At 52.5% G+C, this 24,040-nt stretch overlaps 7 annotated features.

The window, feature by feature from the left end:
- Positions 141–435: a silencer, noted in NCBI's record as "tiled region #7610; K562 Repressive non-DNase unmatched - State 5:Enh". NCBI's record gives its function as "represses a minimal TATA promoter and a strong SV40 promoter by Sharpr-MPRA in K562 cells {active_cell/tissue: K562}" and the evidence as "EXISTENCE:reporter gene assay evidence [ECO:0000049][PMID:27701403]".
- Positions 141–614: a biological region, named in NCBI's record as "Sharpr-MPRA regulatory region 7610".
- Positions 285–334: an enhancer, noted in NCBI's record as "active region_13303". NCBI's record gives its function as "activates an Ori minimal core promoter by ATAC-STARR-seq in GM12878 lymphoblastoid cells {active_cell/tissue: GM12878}" and the evidence as "EXISTENCE:reporter gene assay evidence [ECO:0000049][PMID:35858748]".
- Positions 385–614: an enhancer, noted in NCBI's record as "active region_13302". NCBI's record gives its function as "activates an Ori minimal core promoter by ATAC-STARR-seq in GM12878 lymphoblastoid cells {active_cell/tissue: GM12878}" and the evidence as "EXISTENCE:reporter gene assay evidence [ECO:0000049][PMID:35858748]".
- Positions 3,036–3,543: an enhancer, noted in NCBI's record as "H3K27ac-H3K4me1 hESC enhancer chr18:46420541-46421048 (GRCh37/hg19 assembly coordinates)". NCBI's record gives its function as "activates a minimal SCP1, AML or CMV promoter by ChIP-STARR-seq in naive H9 embryonic stem cells {active_cell/tissue: H9 hESC(naive)}" and the evidence as "EXISTENCE:reporter gene assay evidence [ECO:0000049][PMID:30033119]".
- Positions 4,052–4,561: an enhancer, noted in NCBI's record as "H3K4me1 hESC enhancer chr18:46419523-46420032 (GRCh37/hg19 assembly coordinates)". NCBI's record gives its function as "activates a minimal SCP1, AML or CMV promoter by ChIP-STARR-seq in primed H9 embryonic stem cells {active_cell/tissue: H9 hESC(primed)}" and the evidence as "EXISTENCE:reporter gene assay evidence [ECO:0000049][PMID:30033119]".
- Positions 19,753–19,983: a silencer, noted in NCBI's record as "fragment chr18:46404101-46404331 (GRCh37/hg19 assembly coordinates)". NCBI's record gives its function as "represses an EF-1alpha promoter that drives an FKBP-Casp9 reporter gene in an ReSE screen in HepG2 liver carcinoma cells {active_cell/tissue: HepG2}" and the evidence as "EXISTENCE:reporter gene assay evidence [ECO:0000049][PMID:32094911]".

Raw genomic sequence — 24,040 nt, 5'->3', positions numbered from 1 at the left:
GGCTGAGGGAGCTGCTCCCGGGAAATGGGCATCCTTCAGAAGCCTGGGAAGGCCAAGCTGAAGGAAGGGCCTAGTGGAGGCCCTGTGCCTCCTGCTAAGAGGTTCCTGGAGGGAGCAGCATTGCTCCCTAGGCCCAGGCTTGGCTACCTCCTCCACAGGCTTTCATCTTTCATCTGTGGCTTCTTCTCAATTTCACATCCCTTTGAGGATCTCCTCCTGCCATCCTTCTCTCCTTCCCCGCATGCCTCTCTAGCACCCAGGAGCTGGGCAGCAGGAAGTCTTGGGATCCTGGATTGTGCAAGACCCTGCCCATCGGATTAAGTTGGGAGAGGGAGCGGTGCCTCCTCCTTGCTACCAACCCCCTAGAAACACTGGGCCAGCAGGTGGGGAGATTTCTCACCACAGCAGCTGGCTCTTTCCTGCATCTGGCTCCGGCCTGGACCCCTTACCCTGGCCACAAGGGGGAGAGTGTCTGTTGGCCTGGCCAAGCAGGGGCCTGGGGTCTGAGACGGCCAGCGCCAGTCCGGGCATCTCCCTCCCTCTACACAGGGCCTCTTCCTCCTCCCCACTGTCTGGAAGGCCCCAACAGGTTCCTCATTTCAATAGTGGCTTCCTCTCTAGCCCAGGCCCTGTGGCGCCTGGGGGCAGTCTGATGGCCCCAAGCCTCACATCTGTCCACAAGCCACCTCCATCTTTGTCTACACCAAAAACACCACGCCCACTGCCCTCATGTCATAGGCCAAACCACAGAGGGCTGACTAAGGCTCAACTGTGTGTTCAGCACCCTGGGTCTGGAGGGGTGGGGACACAGGAGGAGGTGTGGCCCTTGTTCTGGCCCTTTTCTGTTCTCCATACAGGGCCCGGCACCACACATGGGGTGTGACCCAGGTCAGAGAAGGGAGGTGAGCGTGGGAAGCCGGGCTGTGGTAGGTTCGGGGCAGGACGTCTGGGTCCTCGAGGTCAAGCAGTGTAGCTAGGCACTCAGGGATCCTCATCAAGGCCCTGAGGGAGACAGTCCTCCCTCTGCCTGGAAGCTGTGGGTAGGCCAACAGCTCCCCCAAGGAGGGGGGTCCTGGCCAACAAGATGAGGTAAGACTGCTACAAGGTGAGGCTGAAGAGTGGAGTGGCCAGAGCATGGACTGTGGCCCAGAATTCTTGGGCTACAACAACCTGCTGCCTGTGTGACCTCGAGAAAGTGACTTTGCTTCCCTGGGCCTCAGTTTTCTCAGCAGTAAAATGGGATGATGACCTTACCTTAGACTCTAAGGCTTAACGCAGGGGTTTTCAGCCTAGACATTATTGACATTTGGGGCTGATGATTCTTTGTTATGGGGCCTGTCTGATGCATTGTAGAGTGTTAAGCAGCATCTCTGGACTCTACTCATTAGATCCCAGTAGCAACTCCCTGTCCCCAGTTGTGACAACCAAAATGTCTCCAGACATTGCCAAGTGTCCCCTGGGGGCAAAATTGAGCCTGAATTGAGAACTACTGGGATTGTGTAGTACTTAACTGAGTTACTATATTCAATGCACTTAGAACAGTACCTGATTCAGAGGAAACACTCAATAGTTCTTAGTGTTATTGTTACAAGCAGGTGACAGAGGCAAAAACAAAACAAAAACATGAGACAAAGACAGAAGAACATGTCTAATGTTCTTGGTTACTAGAGAGTAGGGTCCGGGATGAAGAGGAGAAAAGACTGTGTTTTTAAAAATTCCATCGCTGGGGCCAGGTGCGGTGGCTCACTCCTGTAATCCTGGCACTTTGGGAGGCTGAGGTGGGCAAATCACCTGAGGTCAGGAGTTTGAGACCAGCCTGGCCAATGTGGTGAAACCCTGTCTCTACTAAAAATACAAAAATTAGCCAGGCGAACCCAGGAGGCGGAAGTTGCAGTGAGCCGAGACCATGCCATTGCACTCCAGCCTGGGCGATAAGAGCAAAACTCCATCTCAAAAAAAAAAGAGAAAAAGAAAAAAGAAAAATTCCATTTTTGAGGGTGAGCACAGTGGCTCATGTCTGTAATCTCAGCAATTCAGGTGGCTGGGATGGGAGGATCACTTGAGTCCAAGAGTTCAAGACCAGCCTGGGAGAGATGGTGAGACCCTGTCGCTACAAAAATTAAAAAAATTAGCTGGGCATGGTGGTGCACACCTGTGGTCCTAGCTACATGGGAGGCTGAGGCAGGGTGGTCGCTTGACCCCAGAAGGTCAAGGCAGCAGTGAGCCCTGATTGTGCCACTGCACTCCAGCCTGGGTGTCAGAGCTAGACCCTGTCTAAAAAAAAAAAAAAAAATTCCATCATTGGCTTGCCCAGTTCCTCCCTCCCCATGATTGGGTCTGTTAACCACAATGTGAACTGGGGCTCACAGTCAGTGCACTAGGATGTGCTGGGGCCCCCAAAGACACAAAGGAAGGGGAGACCCAGCCACCCCTGGCTTCCAGGGTATTAATCTTGACTCAAAGAAAAGCTTATACACTTTACATTACTTCTCAAAAGGTCAGGGGACAGAGTGACCAGCTAAAGCCAGGGCCAATTGGCCAGGCACTCAGCCACTCATTCATTCGTGCCTTGCTCATTGAGAGTCTGCTATGTGCCAGACGCAGTGCTGGTTGCATCATAAAAAGACGGAATTTGAGCAGTGATTTAATGGCTGGCCAAGCTTCAGCTAGATGGAGAGGAGGAGAAATAATGGCATCGAGGGTGGGAGCTGGGGGTTGGCAGGAGGTGGGAGGAGGCGAAACTGATCAGGCCAAGGCCCTAAGAAGTGTGGTGTGATTGGAGGGGTAGATTGGGGTCAGCTTGGGGAGGGCCTTGAGTATTGGCTTAGAGACACAATGCCAAGGCCTTGCAGGCCTCCCCAGGAAGGGGCTCTGGGGTGGCCCTTTATTTGTTATTTTATTTTATTTTTTTGAGATGGAGTCTTGCTCTGTCGCCCAGGCTGGAGTACAATGGCATGATCTTGGTTCACTGCAACCTCTGTCTTCCAGGTTCAAGTACATCTCCTGTCTCAGCCCCCCGAGTAGCTGGGATTACAGGCGGGCGCCACCATGCCTGGCTAATTTTTGTATTTTTAGTAGTGACGGAGTTTTACCATGTTGGCCAGGCTGGTCTTGAACTCCTGACCTCAGGTGATTTGCCTGCCTCGGTCTCCCAAAAAGCTGGGATTACAGGTGTGAGCCACCACGCCCAGCCTGGTGGGCCCTTTAAGCAGGGCTTGGGCTTGGGTTCCTACTCCCGCCTCCCAGCCCCAGGGCAGGGGCCAAGCAGAGGGGCTGCTCAGGGCAAGCACTGGTCCTGACTCATCCTCCATCACTGAGGGATGCTCCGCCTCAGTCTCCCTAGCTGAGAAATGGGCCTGTTCTATTTGTTCTATCAGCGATGGTTCCCACCTGCCTCCCAGGGCCCTCCACCTGGGCGTAATTAGACGCTGCCTCCAATTGCTTTAACTGCCTGCGGCAGTCAGGCAGCTCAACAGGAGGAAAGCATGGCGGCCCCTTTGCTAGTGAAGCAAACACCAGGCCTGACTGTCAGATGCAAGGTAACTGGGACCCAAGACAGAGCCAGGGGCTCAACGGGGATGGGGCGGGGCTGGACAGCAGGAGGCCAAGTGTGTGTGAGCACCTTCTCCTGGCCTTCATCTTGGCCACTCGCCTCCTCTGGGGCCCTTTGCTCTTGCCCAGGGTGCCAGGCGGGCAGCCGGCCTGGGCGGGACCACACCCACAGGGCTGTTAAAACCACCTGCAGCAGGCTTGGCCATGGGGAATGAGCTCACTGAGTCGCCGTCCTATGAGGGAGCCAGGTCCCAGCTGCATGAGCGTGACTGGTCTGCCTTGAAGCAGGGGTGCGGGGCCAGGCCTAGAGAGGCTGGCCCGAGGTTGTGCAGCTCTCCGGAGTCCAGCCTGCAGAGCCACACTGTAATCCCATGGGCGCAGGCATCCTTTCGGCTTCAAAGGGAATTTGGAAAACATGAATTGGTCTTTTGAACCCTGCTTGCCCCTTGGCCTGGGGCCCAGGCAGCTATAGAGAGCGTGAAGGGTCAGGTGGAGCCCTGTAGGAGGCTGGAGGAGGGCTAGAACTCCAGGCCAGCACACAGGGCGTCTGGGATCTGACCAAGGAGACGTCTCTCACCCACTGTGCGTCCCCTTGAGCAGGTCCCCTCCTCTTGAGCCCCGGTTTCCACTGGGGCCAGTGGGAGTCAAGAGGCCTGCCCGCCCTCCCTTCAGGGAGGTACTGGGGATCAAAAGAGATCACAAAGATAAAAGAGAATAGAAGAAAAGAAAGCTCAGAACACACGGACGTGGTTGTTATTGTCACTGTTGTTATTATTAGCTCCTCGCCAACCCCTCTCGGAACAGAGCCATGAGGGCAGGTTCTCAGCCCTACCTGGGAGCCCCAGAGGGAGCCGGGCTGTCCTGGTCCCTGCCAGGATCCCTGCTGCACCCCAAAGCTCTCTTTGGGAGCACCTCTGTCCCCCACCCCCATCTTCCAGCACAGTCCCCCTAAGGGTGAAGAAGGGAGAGGCGAGGGGCTTCGGTCTCTGTCGGGGATGGGACCCTCCTGGCACTGCTAAAGACACGTGGAAACACACACATACTTCCAAACATACACAATGCTCACACCCAGACATCTCAGACACACATCAGCGTGACTGAGCATTTGCACTTAGATCTTAACACAGGCACCTCTTACACACACACACACATACACACACGCCAGATACCATCTCTGAAGCAAACTCCATCATCACCTCCATCCATCAGAAGGCCATGGATAGGAAAGGGGCAGGCAGGGATATGAAAGGATATTATTACCTGGGTGGTTGTTGTTATTATGATAGTCCTTAGAAAAGTCTCTACTCGGCAGAAAACATCAAACGGCGGCCAGCAGCCTCAGATAGCAGAGGCGACAGGCCCTTTGGGGCCCTTTCCAGTGCAGACCTGCCTCCTCGTTTGCAAAAATGACTTATTATTAATCTGCGATTGAAACTGTAATTATGCCATCACGGTGTCAACAAGCTGGAACACGGCGAGGGCTGGCAGTGCCGCCTGGAAGTGTGTTCTTACCCTCCACTGTGGCCGTGCTGGCACCCGCACCAGCATGCATGTGTGGAGGGGGCCTCATGCACACCTGCCAAATCAGGGCCCACCTCCTCACGGGCGCCCAGCCCTGTGTGTGTGCACATGGCTTTGTGCCTCTCTTACCCGTGAGAGTCTGGCTGGAGGAGGTGAGGTCAATGCATGTTCCTGATGGGAGAGCAGCCCTCAGAGAGCCCCAGGGAGCTCCAGAGCCTCAGTCAGTGGATCCAGCGGGGATTGAACGTCAGAGTGTGCACGAGGGAGTCAGGGCCCAGGTGCAGGACACTCCCAGCTGTGCCTTTCTGAGTGGTCATTGTCCCAGCCTGCCCTCCACGATGGGGCCTTCTTCAGCACCCTTCATAGACACAGTGCCAGGGTCCTTCCAGCCCTGTCCCTGCTCTGCTGGGCCCTGATGGGTGGCCGCCCTGGGGCCCATTCCCCTGCCGTGTTCACCTGCTGATGACCAACCTGTATTGACCACTCATGACACGCTAGGTCTGGGGGAAGATACTTTATGTTCATGATCTCATTAAAAATTTTAAAACCATTTATATTGAAATGAAGTAAAATGTAAGTGTTAGCTCTGCAAATGAGGATGCTGTAGCCCAGTGAGGTTAGGTGGACTCCCCAGGTCTCACAGAGCCGGGGTTTGAAGCCAGGCGATCTGACTCCAGACTGCCGGCCTCCTGCCCCCTCCTCCCATGCGGGGAGCTTGGGAAGGCAGAGTCCTGGCTTTAGGTCCTCTGCCTCCCTGCCTGGAGTCTTGGGTATAGAAGATGCTCAGGAGATGGTCAATGAATGAAGGAATGAGGTGAAATTCAAAAGTTTAGAATTGGCTTGAGAGACATGAGCTTTCCAGAATTCATGGTGACCTGGGGTCACTACCTGAGGGTGTGCCAGGCTGAGACTTCTGGGTTGGGAAGGTGTCCTTTGGTGCCCAGAGACCACTTTTTTTTGCCACATAATTGGGCTGAGTTTGGGTAGCTAAGAAAATGGCAACCCTAACTGGCCCAGAAGGAAAGTGTGTATGTGTGTGTGTGTGTGTCTGTCTTATTTTATTTTATTTTATTTTATTTTATTTTATTTTATTTTATTTTATTTTATTTTATTTTATTTTATTTTATTTTATTTTATTGAGATAGTTTGCTCTTGTCCCCCAGGCTGGAGTGCAGTGGTGTGATCTCGGCTCACTGCAACCTCTGCCTCCTAGGTTCAAGCAATTTTCCTGCCTCAGCTTCCCAAGTAGCTGGGATTACAGGCACCTGCCGCCACGCCCAGCTAATTTTTATATTTTTAGTAGAGATAGGGTTTCACCATATTGGCCAGGCTGGCCTTGAACTCCTGACCTCAAGTGATCAGCCCACCTCAGCCTCCCAAAGTGCTGGGATTACAGGCATGAGCCACTACGCCTGGCCTTGTCTGTCTGTCTTCTGTCTGTACCTGCAAATGTGTTGTCATGGTTTCAAGAGACAGCAGAGCTGGAAGGGCTCAGAGCTAGCAGGCAGCCAAGCTGAGATGAGGACCTGGGCCTCCTGACTGCCAGCTGGGGATCTTCTATGCATCTGACTGGGAAGGTCACAGGGCCCTGGGCTGGCCAAGGTAGAGACAGCTTCAGGGGGCTGGTCAGAGAGCTTGGCCCTTTCAGATCTCCTCTGGAGGGTGACCACAGACTCGGTGGCCACATTCAGCCACTTCTCACTGCCCTCAGGGTCACTGGGAGAAGCCAGAAGTAGGAGGACTGTATTTGAGGCAGAAGGCAATGAGGCTCAGGAGAAAGAGGAATGGCTTTGGAGTGAGGTGAGACCTGGGGTTCAAATCCTGACTCAACCACATTCTCACCGAGTGCTCCTGGGTAGAGTAACTTTTCTGAGCCTCAATTCTTTCATTTGTAAAATGGAGATAGGCAGGTCTGCCTTACAGGGTTACTGGTGGGAAAAAATGAAAACATGGTTCCTAGCCCCCTGTGAGGAGAGGCACGCTGCCCCGATGGTTCCCAAGGCTACATTCTACGCAGACTCGGAACTTCTGCGGCACATACCCGATGCCTAACTACAAGTAGTTTTGGGTCTGGAAACTAAGTGTCTCAACCCTGTGGCGTGCCCCCCACCCAGACCCAAGGCCACTGTTCACCACCCCACGCCCCACAAATGTCTCAGTGCCCTGCCAGTCCTGGTCCACTCAGTTCCCTGGTGTTTCATTACTTTGACTTGAGGCTTACTGCAGTCTCTTTCTATTAGGGCCTAGGCCTTGTGCCAAAACTGTTGAGATGCAAATGTCCCCCTTCATTGGTTTACTTATTCATGCACTCACTCACACATTCATTCAACAAGCAATGAGTGGCAGACACTGGGGAAACTGAGACACAGCAGGGCCCCAGCAGGGCTTTCTGGGATCTGGAGCTGCTGGCAGGGCAGAGAGGGGGAGGCCGGCAGTTAGGGTGCCTGAGACCCTGCAGGAATAAGAAGTGGCCAGGAAAAAGGGGCAAGCAGGAGGGGCGGCTGCGCTGAAACCAGGCGTAATTGGGCTTCATTGATTCTATGTTAATGCCGCTGGAGCAGCTCAGTGCATGGCAGAAGGACCCAGCCAGGCTGGGTGGATGCTTTGAGGCAAACAAAGTCCTCTTTGGGGACTTTGTTACTACAGGGAGAGCCAAGGAGGGTCCAGGAGAGCCAAACCACTGTGGCTGTTTGAGGCCCACATTCTCTGGGTGGAGTGGGTGGCAGTGGTCCAGGTGGTCCAGGAAATAGGCACGAGGGGTGACCCAACCTGTAGATGTCACAGTTCGGGGGGCCCTCTGGGACTGTTCCCAGGCTGGGCCTCATGTGGGGAGGCTCGGATGGAGTTGGGGAGGTCGGGCCCCAGGAAGGCAGCAGGAGCAGGGTGCAGAGTGCGCGGCAGGTGGGTTGATGGGGAGCAGGGAGGCCACGGTGATGGATGGGCCCTGCTGACCTTGCCTGGGAACCAACGCCCGAGACGCCTCCCGCCAGCTGGAGAGAGCCAGCGGGTCAGATGGCAGCCCCTCCCCCGGGAGGCCGGCCCTGCTAAAGCAGGAGGGAGCTGGCAAGCCATGCAGTTCTCAGGCCAGGCCGCCCATCCTCCCCTCTCCCACTGCCTCTGGTCCACACGGATCTTAGGGCTGAGATGGCTTGGAATGCAGGGGCCCCTAGGGCCTTGGAGAGGGCTCACACCCCCTCCCTTGACAGAAGGAAGAAATTGGCTTTCAGAGACCTGGAAAGGCCCTCCCAACCCCCTCCAGGACTCCCAAACCAAGCCCCCAGCTTTTCTTTACAGGGGCAGGGAGCTTGTGGACAGCACTCCTTGTGCCCAGAGAGGGGAAGTGATTTGCCCAAGGTCACACAGGCAGGGAGAGGCAGACTCTCCCTGGAGAAGAAAGGAGGAAAAGACTTAGTTTGTCTTCAGGTCAGGCCTCCCTGAAAAACATACTTCTGTTTCCATAGAGGTGCATTTATCCGACGGCTGTGGCCTTGGGAAAAGACCAAGCCATTTGTACCTGGCTAGGTCAGAGAACCCAGGTTGTGGGGAAAGGTGAGGGGGCATGGCAGGGATGCTGGGGGCCTTGGGAGTGGAGCAGAGGCCCTGCTTGAGGGCACAGCAGGTCAATGGGTTGGTTGTTGCCATGGTTTGAATGTTTTTGCCGCCTCCAAAACTCATGTGTTATTAATGCCGCTATAAAAAGGGCTTGTGGGAGTGGGCTCCCCCTCTCTTCTGCTCTTCTGCCATGTGAGGACACGGCATTCCTCCCCTCCAGATGATGCAGTGTTCAAGGCACCGTCTTGGGAGCAGAGAAACCAGGCCCTAACCCGCCAGCACCTTGATCTTGGACTTCCCAGTCTCCAGAACTGTGAGGACACGTTTCTGTTCCTTATAAATCCCCTACTCCCAGGTGTTCTGTGACAGCAGCACACAAGGGGCTAAGACAGTTGTGAACCTGATTCTCCCCAGAACATGGAACAAAGGGCTCAGCACACGTTCAATTGTGGGCCACACCTGTTCAGCAGCCCTGAATGCAGCTAGTGTGCTCAAACACGCCTGTGTGTGTGCTGGGGGTTCCTAGCTGGGTGATGGGGTTGCTGGAAGAACAGCTCTACTTCCACCCTGCAGCCCAGGACTTGACCCCTTGCTGGGGGGCTGGACAGGCTGAGGGGAGGACAGAGCTTCTCAGGAGAAGGGGGGCGGAGAGAGGTCTTCTTACTGGGAAGGTGCGGATGTCCCTCTCTATGACAGCCCCCTCTGTGCCAGCCTCACAGCATGCCTGTAAGGTAGGTGCTGCCACCAGCATTTCACACCTGAGGAAACAGGCCCAGAGGAAAGCCGTGCGTGCGGGGCTGCCGGGAGGGAAAGGGGTGCCGGCGAGCAGCCCCGTCCTGCCTCTCCCGGCAGGTGGCGGGCAGCAGAAGGAGCCTAGGATTCCAAGCTTGGTGCAAATCTCCTAGTAACTGTGCCTTTGGATTAAACACTTCCCCTCTCTGCGCTCCGGCTTCCTTTTCTGCACTGTGGGAACAATAGTATTGTCTCCTTCTCCCAGGAGTGTCTCAGGGCCTGCATGGTGACAGATGTGAAAAGGAACTACAAAGCATGAGGTGCTGTCCCTGTAGCCCAGGCCTGCGGCTCCTTGTGGGGGAGGAAGGGCTCCCCTGGGGCCCTCTGCTCCAGGAGCACCATGCGTGTGCCCTGGCCCTATTCCCACAGGAAGAGGATGGGAGAGGTGGGGTTCTCACCTCATCCTGAAAGTAGGGCCCACTGTCCAGCAGCCTAACCCTCATCTCATTCCGGCAAGGGCAGATGTTTTAGAGAGGTGGGGCCTGTCTCCCCAGGCCTCATGACCTCAGGTGGGAGAGTCGAGTCCCTACGCCTGATGTCGCGGCCTGGAGATGCCGCTAGTTGGGTTAAGCGCCTGGCCCTCAGTTCACCTTCCAGTCCTGCTCACCTGCTCTGAGGTCATGTGCGTACAAAGGGCAGACTGGAACACTTACACAGGCTCAGGAAGCAGACGAGGCAGGCAATGAACTTAATTAATAGAATCAGGGCCTATAAATAATCTCTCCCTGCCCCCACCGCAGCAGGCTGTGCCCAATGGCTGGCTTGGCATTCCGAGGACTTGCCCATCAATCCAGGGACTTCTGTGTGCTCTGCCAGTGCTCAGGGAGGTAGAAGGCAGGACAGGCCTCTCAGGAGCTCAACGCTGAGCAGGGATGAGGCATTGAAACCACTGAGGTACCTTCCTGGGTGGTGGGATTCCAAGGAGGGAGAGGGCTGTGTGGCTGAAGGCCAGGAAGGCTTCCCAGAGGAGGTGGCTGCCAGTCTGGGAGATGCTCTGATAGGAAATGGTGAAGAGGGGTAGTAAGAAAGGAGGAGAAGAGATGGGAGAAGGGGAGAGGTCTGTGTGTCCCCCTGCCAGCAGCAGCAGATGCAGGGGCTCGTTTCTTTCCCTAGTTGAGAACTCCTGTGTGTGTCAACCTCAGGAGTAAGGGGGACCCCCCACGTGCAAACCTACTAACTAGGCCCTGTGAGTTGCTCTCCGCTAGTAGTGACAGACTCCTCACTCCTTCCCTCTGAGGTGGGTGCCTTGTTGCCAAGGAAAGGGAGGCACAGAGAGGCTGATCTTGCTGCCTGTGGCCCTGCAGGAAAAGGAGGAGATGTTGGATGGGCATCTTCTGACTAAGCACGGGAACAGAACTGATTGAGGGGCCCCCTGGCTGTGTGTCCTGCAGGCTGATCCCAGCCCACAGGCTGCTGTTCAGCCTGGCAGGGACACTGAGGCAGGCTGGTTGCTGGAAAACACCAGACTCCCAGGGGCTGGCTTTGGCTCAATGACTCTAGGTGGACTTGCCCACCTTCCTTAGATCTCAGCGGTCTAGGATACTTTCACCTGGCCTTTCCTCCTTGGTCTTTCACTTTCTTTCTTTTCTTCTTTCTTTCTTTCTTTCTTTCTTTCTTTTTTTTTTTTTGAGACAGAGTCTTGCTCTGTTACCCTGGCTGGAGTGCAGTGGCACAGTCTCGACTCACTGCCTCCTCCACCTCCTGGGTTCAACCAATTCTCCTGCCTCAGCCTCTGGAGCAGCTGGGATTACAGGCGCGTGCCACCACACCTGCTAATTTTTTGTATTTTAGTAGAGATGAGGTTTCACCATGTTGGCCAGGCCGGTCTCAAACTCCTGACCTCAAGTGATCTGCCCACCTCAGCCTCCCAAAGTTCTGAGATTACAGGTGTGAGCCACCGTGCCTGGCCCAGTCTTTAACTTTCAGGCCCCATGTGCCCCCAGCTGTAAGGGCTCACCCAGACTTTGCCATCTCCTTCCCCATATTCTTTTACCTAGTTTCCCCTAACAAAATCCTTGCATGCATGATCCCATCTTGTGGGGGCATCTGGGCACCCTGGCTAACACGTAACACTCCTCTGAGCTCCCTCTGAGGCTCTGGAATCCTAGGACTCTTGGGCCCCTCATGCTGAGCCCTGACTGGCCCTAGAATCAGGACTGAGCAAACCAAGGAGTGCTGGAGTCAGGAGGACACTCACCATGGACAAAAGAGCATCCTACCTACCCACGCTCCCCCGCGGCTGCCCGGGGCCTGGGACTTCATCGGGTCCTCTTCTCCCTGCTCTGTTGGGAGTCTCAGCCCTGCTTTTGTCTGGTCTGCCCTTTAGGGTATGTGAAGGGGGTGAGCATTTCTTGAAGGCCTCACAACACCCTCTGAGCAAAGTATTCTTCCCTGAATTTTACCCGCTTCACAGATGAGGCCCAGGGAGGAGCAGTGGGCTGTCCTCATGCAGTCTCACTGCTGGTGGGACCTGGGGTTCCTGTTCTCCCTGCCAGCCCCTCTCCCTCACCCCATCCTGCCTTCACCTCTCACAGGGACGATGAGAGGTGGCAAGGGAAGGTGGTGGCAGGTAAGGAAAGTGGGGAGGTGCCGGGGCCAGGAGGCGTCTTCTCAGGCCCATCTTGGGAGGCTGGGGGTTGCCATGGCACCCCTGGCCCGCCTTAGCCTCCCTGACCAAGCCCGGCTGCCTCTTCCCATAAAAGCTAAATTTACTCTTTTAACAAGTCCAGCACTGCATTAAAACACAATGGAATGTTTGGGAAAGGGAATGTTCTGTCATCTAGGGCCAGTGAGTCAGGAGGCCATGCTCAGCCTCTGTGGGGTCCAGCAGTGCCTCTGGAGTCAGGCAGAAGGCCCCCCCGCTCCGCCATGCCTCTTCTCCTCCTGGGAGGCAGGGCTGAGAGCCCCTACTGGAAGGCAGGAGGCCTGGGTGCTGTGCCCTGGGGCGGATCTCTCTGAGTCTGTTGCAGAACTTAAGTTCTTCTTTGGTCTCGGTGGCCCCCAAGGCCCTGTGGCTCGCCTCCATGGTGCTGGGTGTTCACCCGAGGCGCTCCCTCGAGGACAGTGCTTTCCCTGAAACCTTCCCAGTGGAGGTTGGTTTTCTCTACTCTGCATCTATCTCAGAACCAACACGTGGTTGGGTGCCATTTCTGCTCCCACTGGTACTTCCAGCATCTCTCCTCCCTCTTTTTTTGGAACCCCCAGCTCTTTCCGAAGCTCACCCACCACCCTGCCCCAGGCCACACACTCTCTCTGTCCCCTCCTTGCTGTTACTTCCTAACTTCCTGGCCACTCTCCTCCATCTCTTGGGAGGCTGGCTCTGTCACTAGCATCTTGGGACTTTCCACATAGGGGACTACTGTCCATGTCTCAGTCCCTTGGCGACCTCACTTCTGGCCACCTCATCCTGTCACACAGTCCCAGGGTCATACCGTACCCTCATCACCACCAGAAACTGCACCACCTCTGAACCCTGATGTCAAGCTTCTCTTTCTCTGACCACCCCTCCTTCCTTCCCAGGTCTCTAACTCTAGACATTGACTTTCAGTCGTGACAGTTTTCCAGCCTCACCATTTTTGGCTCCTCTTTCCTCCTTCTCCTGTGTCTATTTGGGGAATCTCAACCTTAGTTGAACTCAGCTATTTCCCCCAAGAGCTGAACTTTGCTGGAGAAACCCCTGTGGCCGGGCTGATCGGGTCCCCTTCTGTGCATGATCACAACCTCGAAGTGGGGTCCTTGCTGCCTGGCAAGGCTGGTGTGCGTGGCAGGGATCTGCTGTCCCTCAAGGCTTCACACTTTCCTGAAACCTCTCACCCCCTGCCACTCACTGTTGGCCAGGCCTCTGACTTCACCCAGGAAAGGGAAGCACAGCTTCCTTCTCTGGCCTCCAGAATACCCTCACAACTCCCTGGAGCCTCTGTCTTTCCACCATCCAAGTGGAAGCCTGCAGACCTTCACCCCTTCCCCCAGGCCCATTCCTGGCACTTATCAAAGGATGAGAGTGGCTTAGTGGGTTTATTTACTTGTTCATTATCACTAGAAAATTATTATCCTGGCACCTGGCACCAAATAGGCACTCAATACATACCTCTTCGTGCATAAATGAATATATATTAGGGACAGTTAGCTTTACTAAGTAATATTTTAAAATTACAACGTTAACAAGGTATGCACTCAATACAAAAACTTCTGACAATGGAAAAGCATAAAGAAAGAAAAGGCAGAAATTAACCATAATTCTATCACTTGTTAATAACTGCTGTCAACTTTTGATGTGTATGCATTTGAAGTTTCCTACACATATATTTTTTCTTCTCGAAATGATACTTGGATAGATACAGATCACTATCTAACAATTGGTGATGAACATTTTCCTACATCTTCAGATATTCTTCTAAATCTTTTTAATAATTGCACAGTGTTCCATTGTATGGATGATCTTAATTTACTTAACCACTTCCTTAATGTTGGACATCTGTATTCTTTCCATATTTTTTATCTTCCCTATTTAGTCAATATCCTTATACATAAATATATGTGTACATTGTTTTCCCTGTGGCTGAATTCCTAAGTGGACTTGTAGGTCAAAGAGTACACATATTTTAAGGCTTTTGATTTATATTATTAAATCACAAGAGACAATTTGTTTTGGAAACCAAATCAACACAAACACAATCTCCTACTTTTCCAAGCATAACAAATCCCCTTCTGAAGCTCCAGAAGGCTCCTCCCTCAGAAATCCTCATGGCTAGGATTATCCTTTCCATCAACATTTTGCTTAAATGCCCCCTTATAGGCAAGGTCTTGATGGCTCTTCCATATAAAGTGGCACCTCTCCTTTTTTTTTTTTTTTTTTTTTGAGATGGAGTTTTGCTCTGTCACCCAGGCTGGAGTGCAGTGGCATGATCTCGGCTCACTTGCAACCTCCGCCTCCTGGGTTCAAGCGATTCTCCTGTATCGGCCTCCTGAGTAGCTGGGACTATAGGCGCCCGCCACCACACCTGGCTAGTTTTTTGCATTTTTAGTAGATATGGGGTTTCACCATGTTGGCCAGGCTGGTCTCGAACTCCTGACTTCAGGTGATCCACCCACCTTGGCCTCCCAGAGTGCTGGGATTACAGGCGTGAGCCACCACACCTGGCCTCTCCTTCTTTTTCATCCTCTACATCCTTTTTGCAGTTGCCTAGCTGCACTCAGCACCCCCTGACAAGTCTAATGTTTGTTTATGTCTGTCTCTTCCAGATCTATGAGAGTAGAATGTTTGTCTGTTTTGTTCCTCCTGTAGCCCCAGTGTCTTCACCTCGCCTGGCACAGAGTACATGCTCAACAAGCATTTTGCGAGTGAATGACTGAGTGTTGGCACTTCTAGTCTCAAACTAATGGTGATGATAATATTCGGGGCTCTATAGGAGCTGTTTTAAGTAGCAGAGGCAATTCATAGAAGAGAGATAAGGAAACAAACAAATAAAATTACTGCTTAATGTAGTCATTGCTGTGAAGGGGGGATACACTAAACACAGGGTGCGATACATAAACTGAGACCTGAGGGCTGAGCAGAAGTAGGTGTGAGAAGGGCATGGACAAGTGCATCCAGGCACATGGAACAGTGTGTAAAAAGGCCTTGAAGCAGGAAAGAGATTAGCAGGTTAAGGAATGGAAAGAAGGCCAGGGCCTGATCATAGCAGTCAGTGGGGTGAGAGCCACAGCGGGGAATGGGAGATCACCCATGTGCCGTGGATCAAGGAGCATGAGGAAGAATCCACTACTCAGAGGCTCCTACTCACGTTTCAGATCAGGGCAGTGGCCTCCAAAGCCCATTCTCTCCCTGAGTCTCATACACCATGGAGTCTCATCAAATTTACATTTAATGCATGAAACTTCCAGCTCCTTATTTTTAATGTAATAATGCCATAAGTAAATTTGCATATGTAGTCTTTATTACATACTGTCCATTATCCCATATTATGCTCACATACAAACACTATACTATATTGTACATATGAAACCTTTTACTTTACTTTATTTTATTTTTGGATAGGGTCTTACTCTGTTGCCCAGGCTAGAGTGCAGTGGCACAGTCATGCTCACTGCAGCCTTGACCTCCTAGGCTTAGGTGATCCTTCCACCTTAGCCTTCCAAGTAGCTGGACTACAGGCATACACCACCATGCTTGGCTAATTTTTATGTTTTTTGTAGAGACAAGTGAGCCCAGACTAGTCTTGAACCCCTGGGCTCAAGTGATCAGCCTGCCTCAGCCTCCCAAAATGCTGGGATTACAGGTGTAAGCCATCGCACCCACCCCATACAAAACCATTTATACCGTGTTTTATGGGGGTAAATTAAGGGATTTAAAAATGTTATTCTCTTTTTGTGCCCGGATTTAATTAATTAATTAATTTATTTATTTATTAACACAGAATTTTGCTGTGTCACCTAGGCTGGAGTGCAATGGCACGATCTTGGCTCACTGTAACCTCCACCTCCCAGGTTCAAGTGATTCTCCTGCCTCAGCCTGCTGAGTAGTTGGGATTACAGGCACCTGCCTCCACACCTGGCTAATTTTTGTATTTTTAGTAGAGATGGGGTTTCACTATGTTGGCCAGGCTGGTCTCGAACTCCTGACCTCAGGTGATCCACCCGCCTCGGCCTCCCAAACTATTGGGACCACACGTGTGAGCCACCGTGCCTGGCCCCTGATTTTATTTTTTATCAGATTTTCTCATTGTGCTTCATTGCTCAATATTTTATACTGACCTGTTTTCCAGTTCACTAATCTTCTATTAGTGACATCTAATCTGCTGTTAAACCCATTCATTGCTTGTTAATTATGATGATGATTATTTTTTGTAGTATTTTGTATTTGCCTAGAACTTCCATTTGATAACCTTTAGGAGTTTCCAGTTCTCCTTAAATTATTTATCTCTCCAATTTTTTTGAACATATCAATCACAATTATTTTAAAGTCTGCTATTTTAAATAATAATATCTGGATCTCCTTCAGGTTTATTCCTATTAGCTGTGTTTTTTTTCCACCTCTTAGTTTCAGTCATATGATCTTATCTCCTGTCATGCCTGGTAAATGTTATTGACTTCCAGACATGGTATATGGAAGGATTGTAGAGATAATTTGAGGCTCTGAATAATCCAGAGAGGATTTACTCTTGACTCTGGAAGGGAGATAGAGTAGAGGCAGCGCACTTTAATCCCATGTGGGATTAAGTTTGTTTGAAGCTGCACTTCAACCTTTGTGAGGGCTGACCTATTTCTGATTTGTGCTTCAAGGGTCCTAACTGACAGTTTTTTTTTTTTCTAAACAAGCCATCTCTCCACTTGGAGATGCTTGAGTTCTCCCCTTTCCTCTTTCTCTAACTCCAGGAGGTTGCAAAAACCTCAGTCTCCACTTCCTGCTCACATTCTGAACTTCATGCTACTGCTTAGGGGAAAAGTAGGGCCAAATGTTAAGCTCATCTTTCTAGATTCAAATTTTAAAAATGTATTTTATCTCTTTTTTCGGTTGGTGGCAAAGTTGGTGTGATATATAAGCTAGTCTACTGTAGCCAGAAGTAGAAATTGGCACAGATCTTAAAACCCACCCCTGCTGAGAAGTCATTCCAGTCCCCTGCTTCAACTTGGCCATTCAAAGGGTCAGCTTTGGCCTCCTCCTACTCTGACCACTTGCTCCCCATTCATACAGGGCTTGGCTGCTGCCTAGTGATGTTCATGGCCTGGAGGCTGCCTCTAAAATGGCTACCCTTCCAGCCCCAGCATCCAGGCTGGTCAAGATGGTAGTGGCCTGGTTTTTGCCAAGGCTCTGCCATCACAGAGTGGCCAGGCTCACTTCTGTCTGCTGACCAGCCTCACTCACACGCCATGCCTTCTGTAGCTCCCTCTTGTGCAGGCTCCACGCTCAGTGCTTAACATAAGTGGTCTCATTTCATCCTCATAGAAAGACTAGCAAGTAACTATAGTTATCTTCATTTTATAGATGAGGAAACTGAAGCCCTAGGGGTTTAGTCATAATCCCTGGCCACTTCATAGAATTACATATGTACTTAGGTGTTCAATTAATTTTCTCGTTCACCCTAGACTATAAGCAACATGAAGGCAGAAAATGTGTCTATACATCTATTTTATATCCTCATCATATGGCCATGCCTGGCACAAAGTCTGTAGGCAGTAACAACCACTGAAGCCAGGTGTGGTAGTGCAGCCTGTAATCCCAGCCACTCAGGAGGCTAAGCCGGGAGGATGGCTGAAGCCCAGGAGTTCGAGGCTGTAGTGTGCTGTGGTCACATCTGTGAATAGCCACTGCACTCCAGCCTGGGCAACATCGTGAGATTCCCATCCCAGAAAAACAAAACACAAAAACAAAAACAACCCAACCAAAATCAAAACCAAAAAGAAGCATTGAGTGAATAAATAAAGCTTCAAGTCCCAAAGTTGTTTGTGGTGGAGGCCAGACTCCAGGGAGTCCTGCCTGCTCACCACTCACATCACAGCTGGTGGGGAACACGTTCATTCACCAGAATGTTCCCAGTATCTTCTATGTGTTGAGATTCTAGTGGAGTTTCCTGCTGCCAGGGCTATAATTTTGGCAATTTCAGCGCTTTGGTGTTGGGGGTTCCATTGCCCTTAACCAAGGTCTGAGGACCCATATGGAACTGAGGAATGGACTCAAAAGCTTCTGACATTACAGTAAAAATTTGTAGAGAATTTTTCTAGAGAAAGGATCTATTCAATTTCTCAGACTCTCAGAGAGGTCTGGGACCTCCCCAAAAGGTCAAGAATCTTGGGCATAGGGTTTGGTTGCCTTGTCGGTCTCCCAACATTACCTCGCCTGGCCAGGGAGGGGCTTCCTGAAGCCACCCACAGCTTGTTGGGGGCCGACTGGAGAAACCAGCCAGTGTGTGAAGGGGAAGCCTTTTCCAGCCTGAGCAGGGTACCCAGAGCCCTCCAGCCAGCATTCTCGAAAATCCCTCAAGGTTAGGGGGTGGGTGTCACTCACCGAAGGACCATGAATAATGGAGATCTGGCCCTCTCAGGGCAGCCGCTGACAGGAAAGCCGCCCCACCGGCTCGGCGGCATATTTGTGTGGCTTCTGGTTCTGAGGCAACCGCCAGGTGAGGCAGGGGTGGCGGGGGTGGGTGTGTGGGAATTCCCAGGCCCCGGCTCAGCACTTTGAAGCGAAGACCCTGAGTCCATGTTGGAGGGGGCAGGAAGGCGCCACCAGTCCCTCGAAAGGAGACAGGAGGCTGCCGGGGCAACTTCTCCCTGCTCAGGCTGCCCTGGGTGCCCCCGGCCTGAGGATGAGGAGATTCTTGTTTAGTTTCGGAATCAGCAAGTCCACCTACAAGAACATCCTCTCAGAATCAGAAAGGTCTCTCCGTGTACATATTCTACCCCACACACAAAATCCTTACAATTTTTTTTTTCTTAGACGCACACTCTCAAAAACACGAGCACTCTCTTGTCTCACACACCAAATTCCCTGTCGTGTGCACATTTGTTTTCTCTTTCTCTCACACACAGGCTCACACCCGTTCATGACCAGGTTCGGGGGTGCTCCTGCAGACCTGGAGTCTGACCTTGGCCTCTGCGTCCACCTCAGGGTTCCTGAGGTGACCGGGTGGCTTCCTGGCTCCGCCTTTCTCAGTATTGTTCCCCACTGGTCAGCCCTGACAAGGTCACTTCCTACACAGAGTGTAGCAGACCTTGCTGGCCTCGCCCACCCCGCTGCGCTGTGAGCCACCGTCCTGCCCCTTCATCCCACAGGTCCTCTGACCTAGCCTGGCCCTGGGCACAGCCTTTGACAGGGAGTCAGGGGCCAGACCCTCCTTGTCACCCAACCCCAGTTGAGTTCAATAATTCTGTCTCAGAACTTAGAGGAGTTTAAGAGGGAGAAAATGTTTAAGAAAAGTCAAGAAAACCAAATTGTAATTTTATGTCCAGCTGTGACATGACTCACTTAGTGCACATCCTCCAACCCCCAGACCAGAAGCCTCCCCTGAGCCCACCATGGCTCCGGGGGGAGGTAGGGGTGACAGGAGTGGGAGGGATTGTGTTCCTGGAAGGTCCTTGGCCAGGGTAGTCCCTGAGAGACTCTAATGTCCTCTGGGGCTGAGTATTCCCTGCTGTGGCTGGGCTCAGGGAAAGCCACATTGCCGGGTGTCTGGACTTGGAGAAGGTCCTGACATGATGCTGCCATGGTTGCCCCATCAATGTAGCTGGGTCATGGGCAAAGGTGGCCTAAGACAGGATGATATTTAAAATATTTAGGTCTGGGCACAGTGGCTCAAACCCATAATGCCAGCGCTTTGGGAGGCTGAGGTGAGAGGATTGCTTGAGGCCAGGAGTCCAAGACAAGCCTGGGCAACATAGGGAGCCCTCGCCTCTCCAACAAACAAACAAACAAACAAAAAATTAGCACTCAGCACCAACTATGAGAACTGAGCTGGAACAGGACCCCAGAGGCCACCCCTGCCAAGCTGTGCCCGCCTTTAACCCTGTAGTTCCTAGATGTGGGCAGTTGTGGTGAGGTTGGTCCTGGGGGGTAAGAGGGGCAGGGATGGGACAGTGGCTATTCAGCAGTTGCTCCTGAAGAAGCAGCTGTGGGGACATATGTTGAGATTCTAGCTGAGTTCCTGCCATCAGGGGTATAATTTCGGCAGTTTCCAGATTTTGATAACATGTACACACACGGTTAGCAAGACACGGAGTGGGCTGCCTTGAGCCCATATGAGCTTTTGAAACCCTGAGGGGCTAATGATGAAGAGAGCAGGGGTGGGGGTTGGTGGCAGGGGACATGAGAGAGTAACACCAGCATTTAATATTGATGTAGCTCTCACTGTGTGCCTGATGCCTACTGAGTGACTTCCGCATATTACCTCACACGATAATTTAAACAGTGCTGTTGGCCTAGCACTTTGGGAGTCTGAGGTGGGTGGATCATTTGAGATCAGGAGGAGTTCGAGACCAGCCTGGTCAACATGGCGTCTCTACTAAAAATACAAAAATTAGCTGGGCGTGGTGGCAGACGCCTGTAGTCCCAGCTGCTCGGGAGGCTGAGGCAGGAGAATCACTTGAACCCAGCGGGTGGAGGTTGCAATGAGCAGAGATCGCGCCATTGCACTCCAGTCTAGGCAACAGAGCAAGACTCCATCTCAAAATAAATAAATAAATAAACAGTGCTGTTGAGATATATTTAAAGCCAAAGTGTACAATGTGCTATGTTTTGATACATGTATGTACCCACGAAATCATCACTACAAATAAGATAACGAACAAACCCATTGCCCCTCAACGTTTCCTCGGAACCCTTGGTAATTTCTCCATCCGGACCCTTCCTTTTGTCCTCAGGCAACCACTGACCTGCTTTCTGATGTTACAGAGTAGTTTTCGTTTTCTATAACTGTTTACAGAAGTAGCTCATTTAATATTTACAACGACCCTCTGAAGTGGCTACTACTTTTCTTGCCATCACCCCCATTTTACAGATGAGAAAATAGAGGCACAGGGAGGTTAAATGACTTGTCTGCAGTCACACCACATGGCCTGGGAGGGGTGGAGGCCAGGTGTGTGGCTTTGGAGCCTGGCCTACTGACCACAATACCGTACTGCCCCTCACTCGGGTGGAAGGACCCAAGCACAGGGGGGTGTCAGAGGCCAGAGGGAAGCAAGGAGGTCTCCTGTTTCAGAGGCCAGAGGGAAGCAAGGAGGTACCCTGTTTCAGAGGCCAGAGAGAAGCAAGGAGGTTCTCTGTTTCAGAGGCCAGAGGGAAGCAAGGAGGTTTTTGGGAGAGGGGTCAGAAAACGTCAGGATGTGAAGCTGGTGTGGGTAGCGTTAGGGGTCACGGCCAGGCTGGGCTTGGCTGCGGTGAGCTGTGGGCAGTAGGCAATGAACTGGCTCACAGCTCGAGTCAGGGTCTGGTGATCTTAGCAGGCCTGTGGAGCTTGTTCCCGCCACAGGAGGGGCCAGTGAGGGTGGCTGTCTCCCGCAAGCTTTTCCCTGTCTGTCCCTGGAGGCACCTTTGCTCCGCAGCGGCTTTCTGTCCTGTTATGGAGAAAAGCACTGATGGCCGGCTCTTCCCCTGCAGCCTGGCCTGGGGGCTGCAGCCAACCTGGGAAGGAGCTGCAGTCTGAGGATCCCTCTGGGTTCCCTCTGGCTGGGAACCCTGGGCAGACCTCGAGCCCTGGACCGAGACACCGTGGTCATGTGGTGCCTCCAGAGCAGCTGGCCAGGGCTGGGCACAGGGCACGATGTCTCCAAGGCTGCCAAAACATCTGCAGAAGACCCCAGATGCTTTCCAAATGCCCCTGCCACAGCGGAGCTTGGATGAGCAAAAGAGGAAGTGGAGCATCTGAACTCTTCTAGGGGCCACTCAAGGAAGGGGTTTCTGGAGAAGGCCGGTTTGGAGCAAGGCTTTGAGAGGGAGAACTTCAGGCACCATGACCAGCGATTTGGCCAGGATGACACTGGGCTCCCTCTCGCTAGCCTCTCTGTGATGATCACCAGTAGTAACTGATAAACCTGAAACAATGAATACTGACAAGAGGGCAGTAATCACTGTGATTTTACATTCGGCTAACTCGCTGCTGCAGAGATGGAGACTAGATGGTAAATAACGGGCAAAGACTGTAAATCACCCCGAAAACTGATCGATCCAGCAGCAGATTGACCCAACGTCCTCGCCCCGGTGCCTGGGTCTCGGGGGCCATCATAGGGGACAGCGCTGGGAGTCCCAGGGTTGCTCCGGTGCAGGAGTAGGGGTATCCCCACCCCGGGAGACTGGGCCTGAGTTCCAGTCCAGCTCTGCCAACTGCTTGCTGTGCTACTCTGGGCTGGTTGTTCGCCCACTCTGGGCTCGTCTTCCTTCAGCTGTGAAATGGTGGGCTCCGATATTCTACAATTCCAAGTCTCCTCTGCCCCACCCAGATACCTTAAGACTCCTGGACCCTTTTAGGAAGGGGCCAGTCCTGTCCAGACTCCTAGGAGGGCTCAGGCACCGGGAGGGAATAGAGTGGATGAGGGTCCTGCCAAGGCCCCTGCCTGGCCAGTGACAGGAAAGCAGTGGATCATGGCACAGGGAGCGATTTTACTGGAAAGATGAAAGGAAATTGCATCTTTAATAATTCACCGGCCGGTTTGAAGGGAGGCAGGTTGGCGGGGCTGTGGAGCCGCCAGGCGATCCCAGCCTCTGTTCCTGGAAATCCTCCGGCTCCAGAGCTTGCCCGAGAGACCCGGGGCCCTCCATCTCCTCCTGGCCCAGGGACAGCGGGAGCCGACAGAGTCTAGACCAGGGTGAGAGGTTAAAACACAGCCATCCTGGGAACCCACTAAATTGATATCCCCAGCAAAAAGGGAGCCAAAATAATCGATACAGCAGCGGCCCAGGAAAGTGGCCAAGCTCGAGCCCCAGCCCAGCCCGGTGGAGTCGCTGCAGAAAAGGAGGGCTTGGGCTCTAGCCAACTGCATGGGGCTTTGGCGAGCATACTGGCTTTGGGGGCTCTGCCTGGGGTCACCAAGAATGGAAAGGGACCTGGAGGCAGGCAGGGGTCACCAATGCTGAGTAGCCTGTCCAGCTAGTGGGGTGGGTGCAGGGGCCACACTGCCTGGTGTCCTCCATGGGTCCTCGTTTTGTCCTTCCTTCCTGGTCTCTCTCAGGTGGGAATGCTTTGGCTCATGCTGAAGCATCAGGACCTTCAGCTTGGGAGCCCTGAGTGCCAGATAGAGAAAGAAACAACTGAAGCCAGGAAGATGTGGCCCAGGACACAGATGGAAGGTGCCAAAGACAAAGCTAGCTGAAGAGTCAAAAGTTCTGGAGTCCACACATGTTGGTTTGACTCCCAGCCCAGTCCCTCGGGCAAATCACTCCTGGGCCTGCAGCCGGTCCCTGTGAATGGGACCTCAAGGGACACGAAGAGGTGCAAGACCTTGTGCTCCCAGGAGGAGCTTTGCATCTGTAGGCTATCGTCATTATTAGGCCTTTTCCTCAAAGGCTGTAGAATTGTGGTTGACTCCACTGAAATTTCAAAGCTCTCCTGGGTGGGTTAGCCTAGGTAGAAACGGGATTAGAGGGGAGTGAACTCCATAAAGGAGAACAGACTAGGGGATGGAGGGAATCTGGGGGCCAAAATGGGCTCACGCAGAACAGCTGTTAAAATCTGTCTCTCCTCCCTCCGTTCCTGCCTCCCTCTCCTGCTAATTAACAAAGACAACTCAAGAATTACAGAGAAGGCCAGGCGCGGTGGCTCACACCTATAATCCCAGCACTTTGGGAGGCCGAGGCAGGCGGATCACATGAGGTCAAGAGTTTGAGACCAGCCTGGCCAACATGGTGAAACCCCGTCTGTACTGAAAATACAAAAATTACCTGAGTGTGGTGGCACGTGCCTGTAATCCCAGCTACTTGGGAGGCTGAGGCAGGAGAATTGCTTGAACCTGGGAGGTGGAGGTTGCAGTGAGCTGAGACCTCGCCATTGTACTCTAGCCTGGGCAACAAGAGCGAAACTCCGTCTCAAAATAAATAAATAAATAAATAAATAAATAAATAAATAAATAAATCACAGAGAACCCACCTTAAAATCTAACATACCCATCCTTCTTTTACAGATGGGGGAACTGAGGC

Source organism: Homo sapiens, chromosome 18 (genome assembly GCF_000001405.40).
Source record: "Homo sapiens chromosome 18, GRCh38.p14 Primary Assembly".
Classification (NCBI taxonomy): domain Eukaryota; kingdom Metazoa; phylum Chordata; class Mammalia; order Primates; family Hominidae; genus Homo; species Homo sapiens.
Note: the sequence above shows the minus strand (reverse complement) of the source record. Positions and strands in the feature narration are given on the sequence as shown.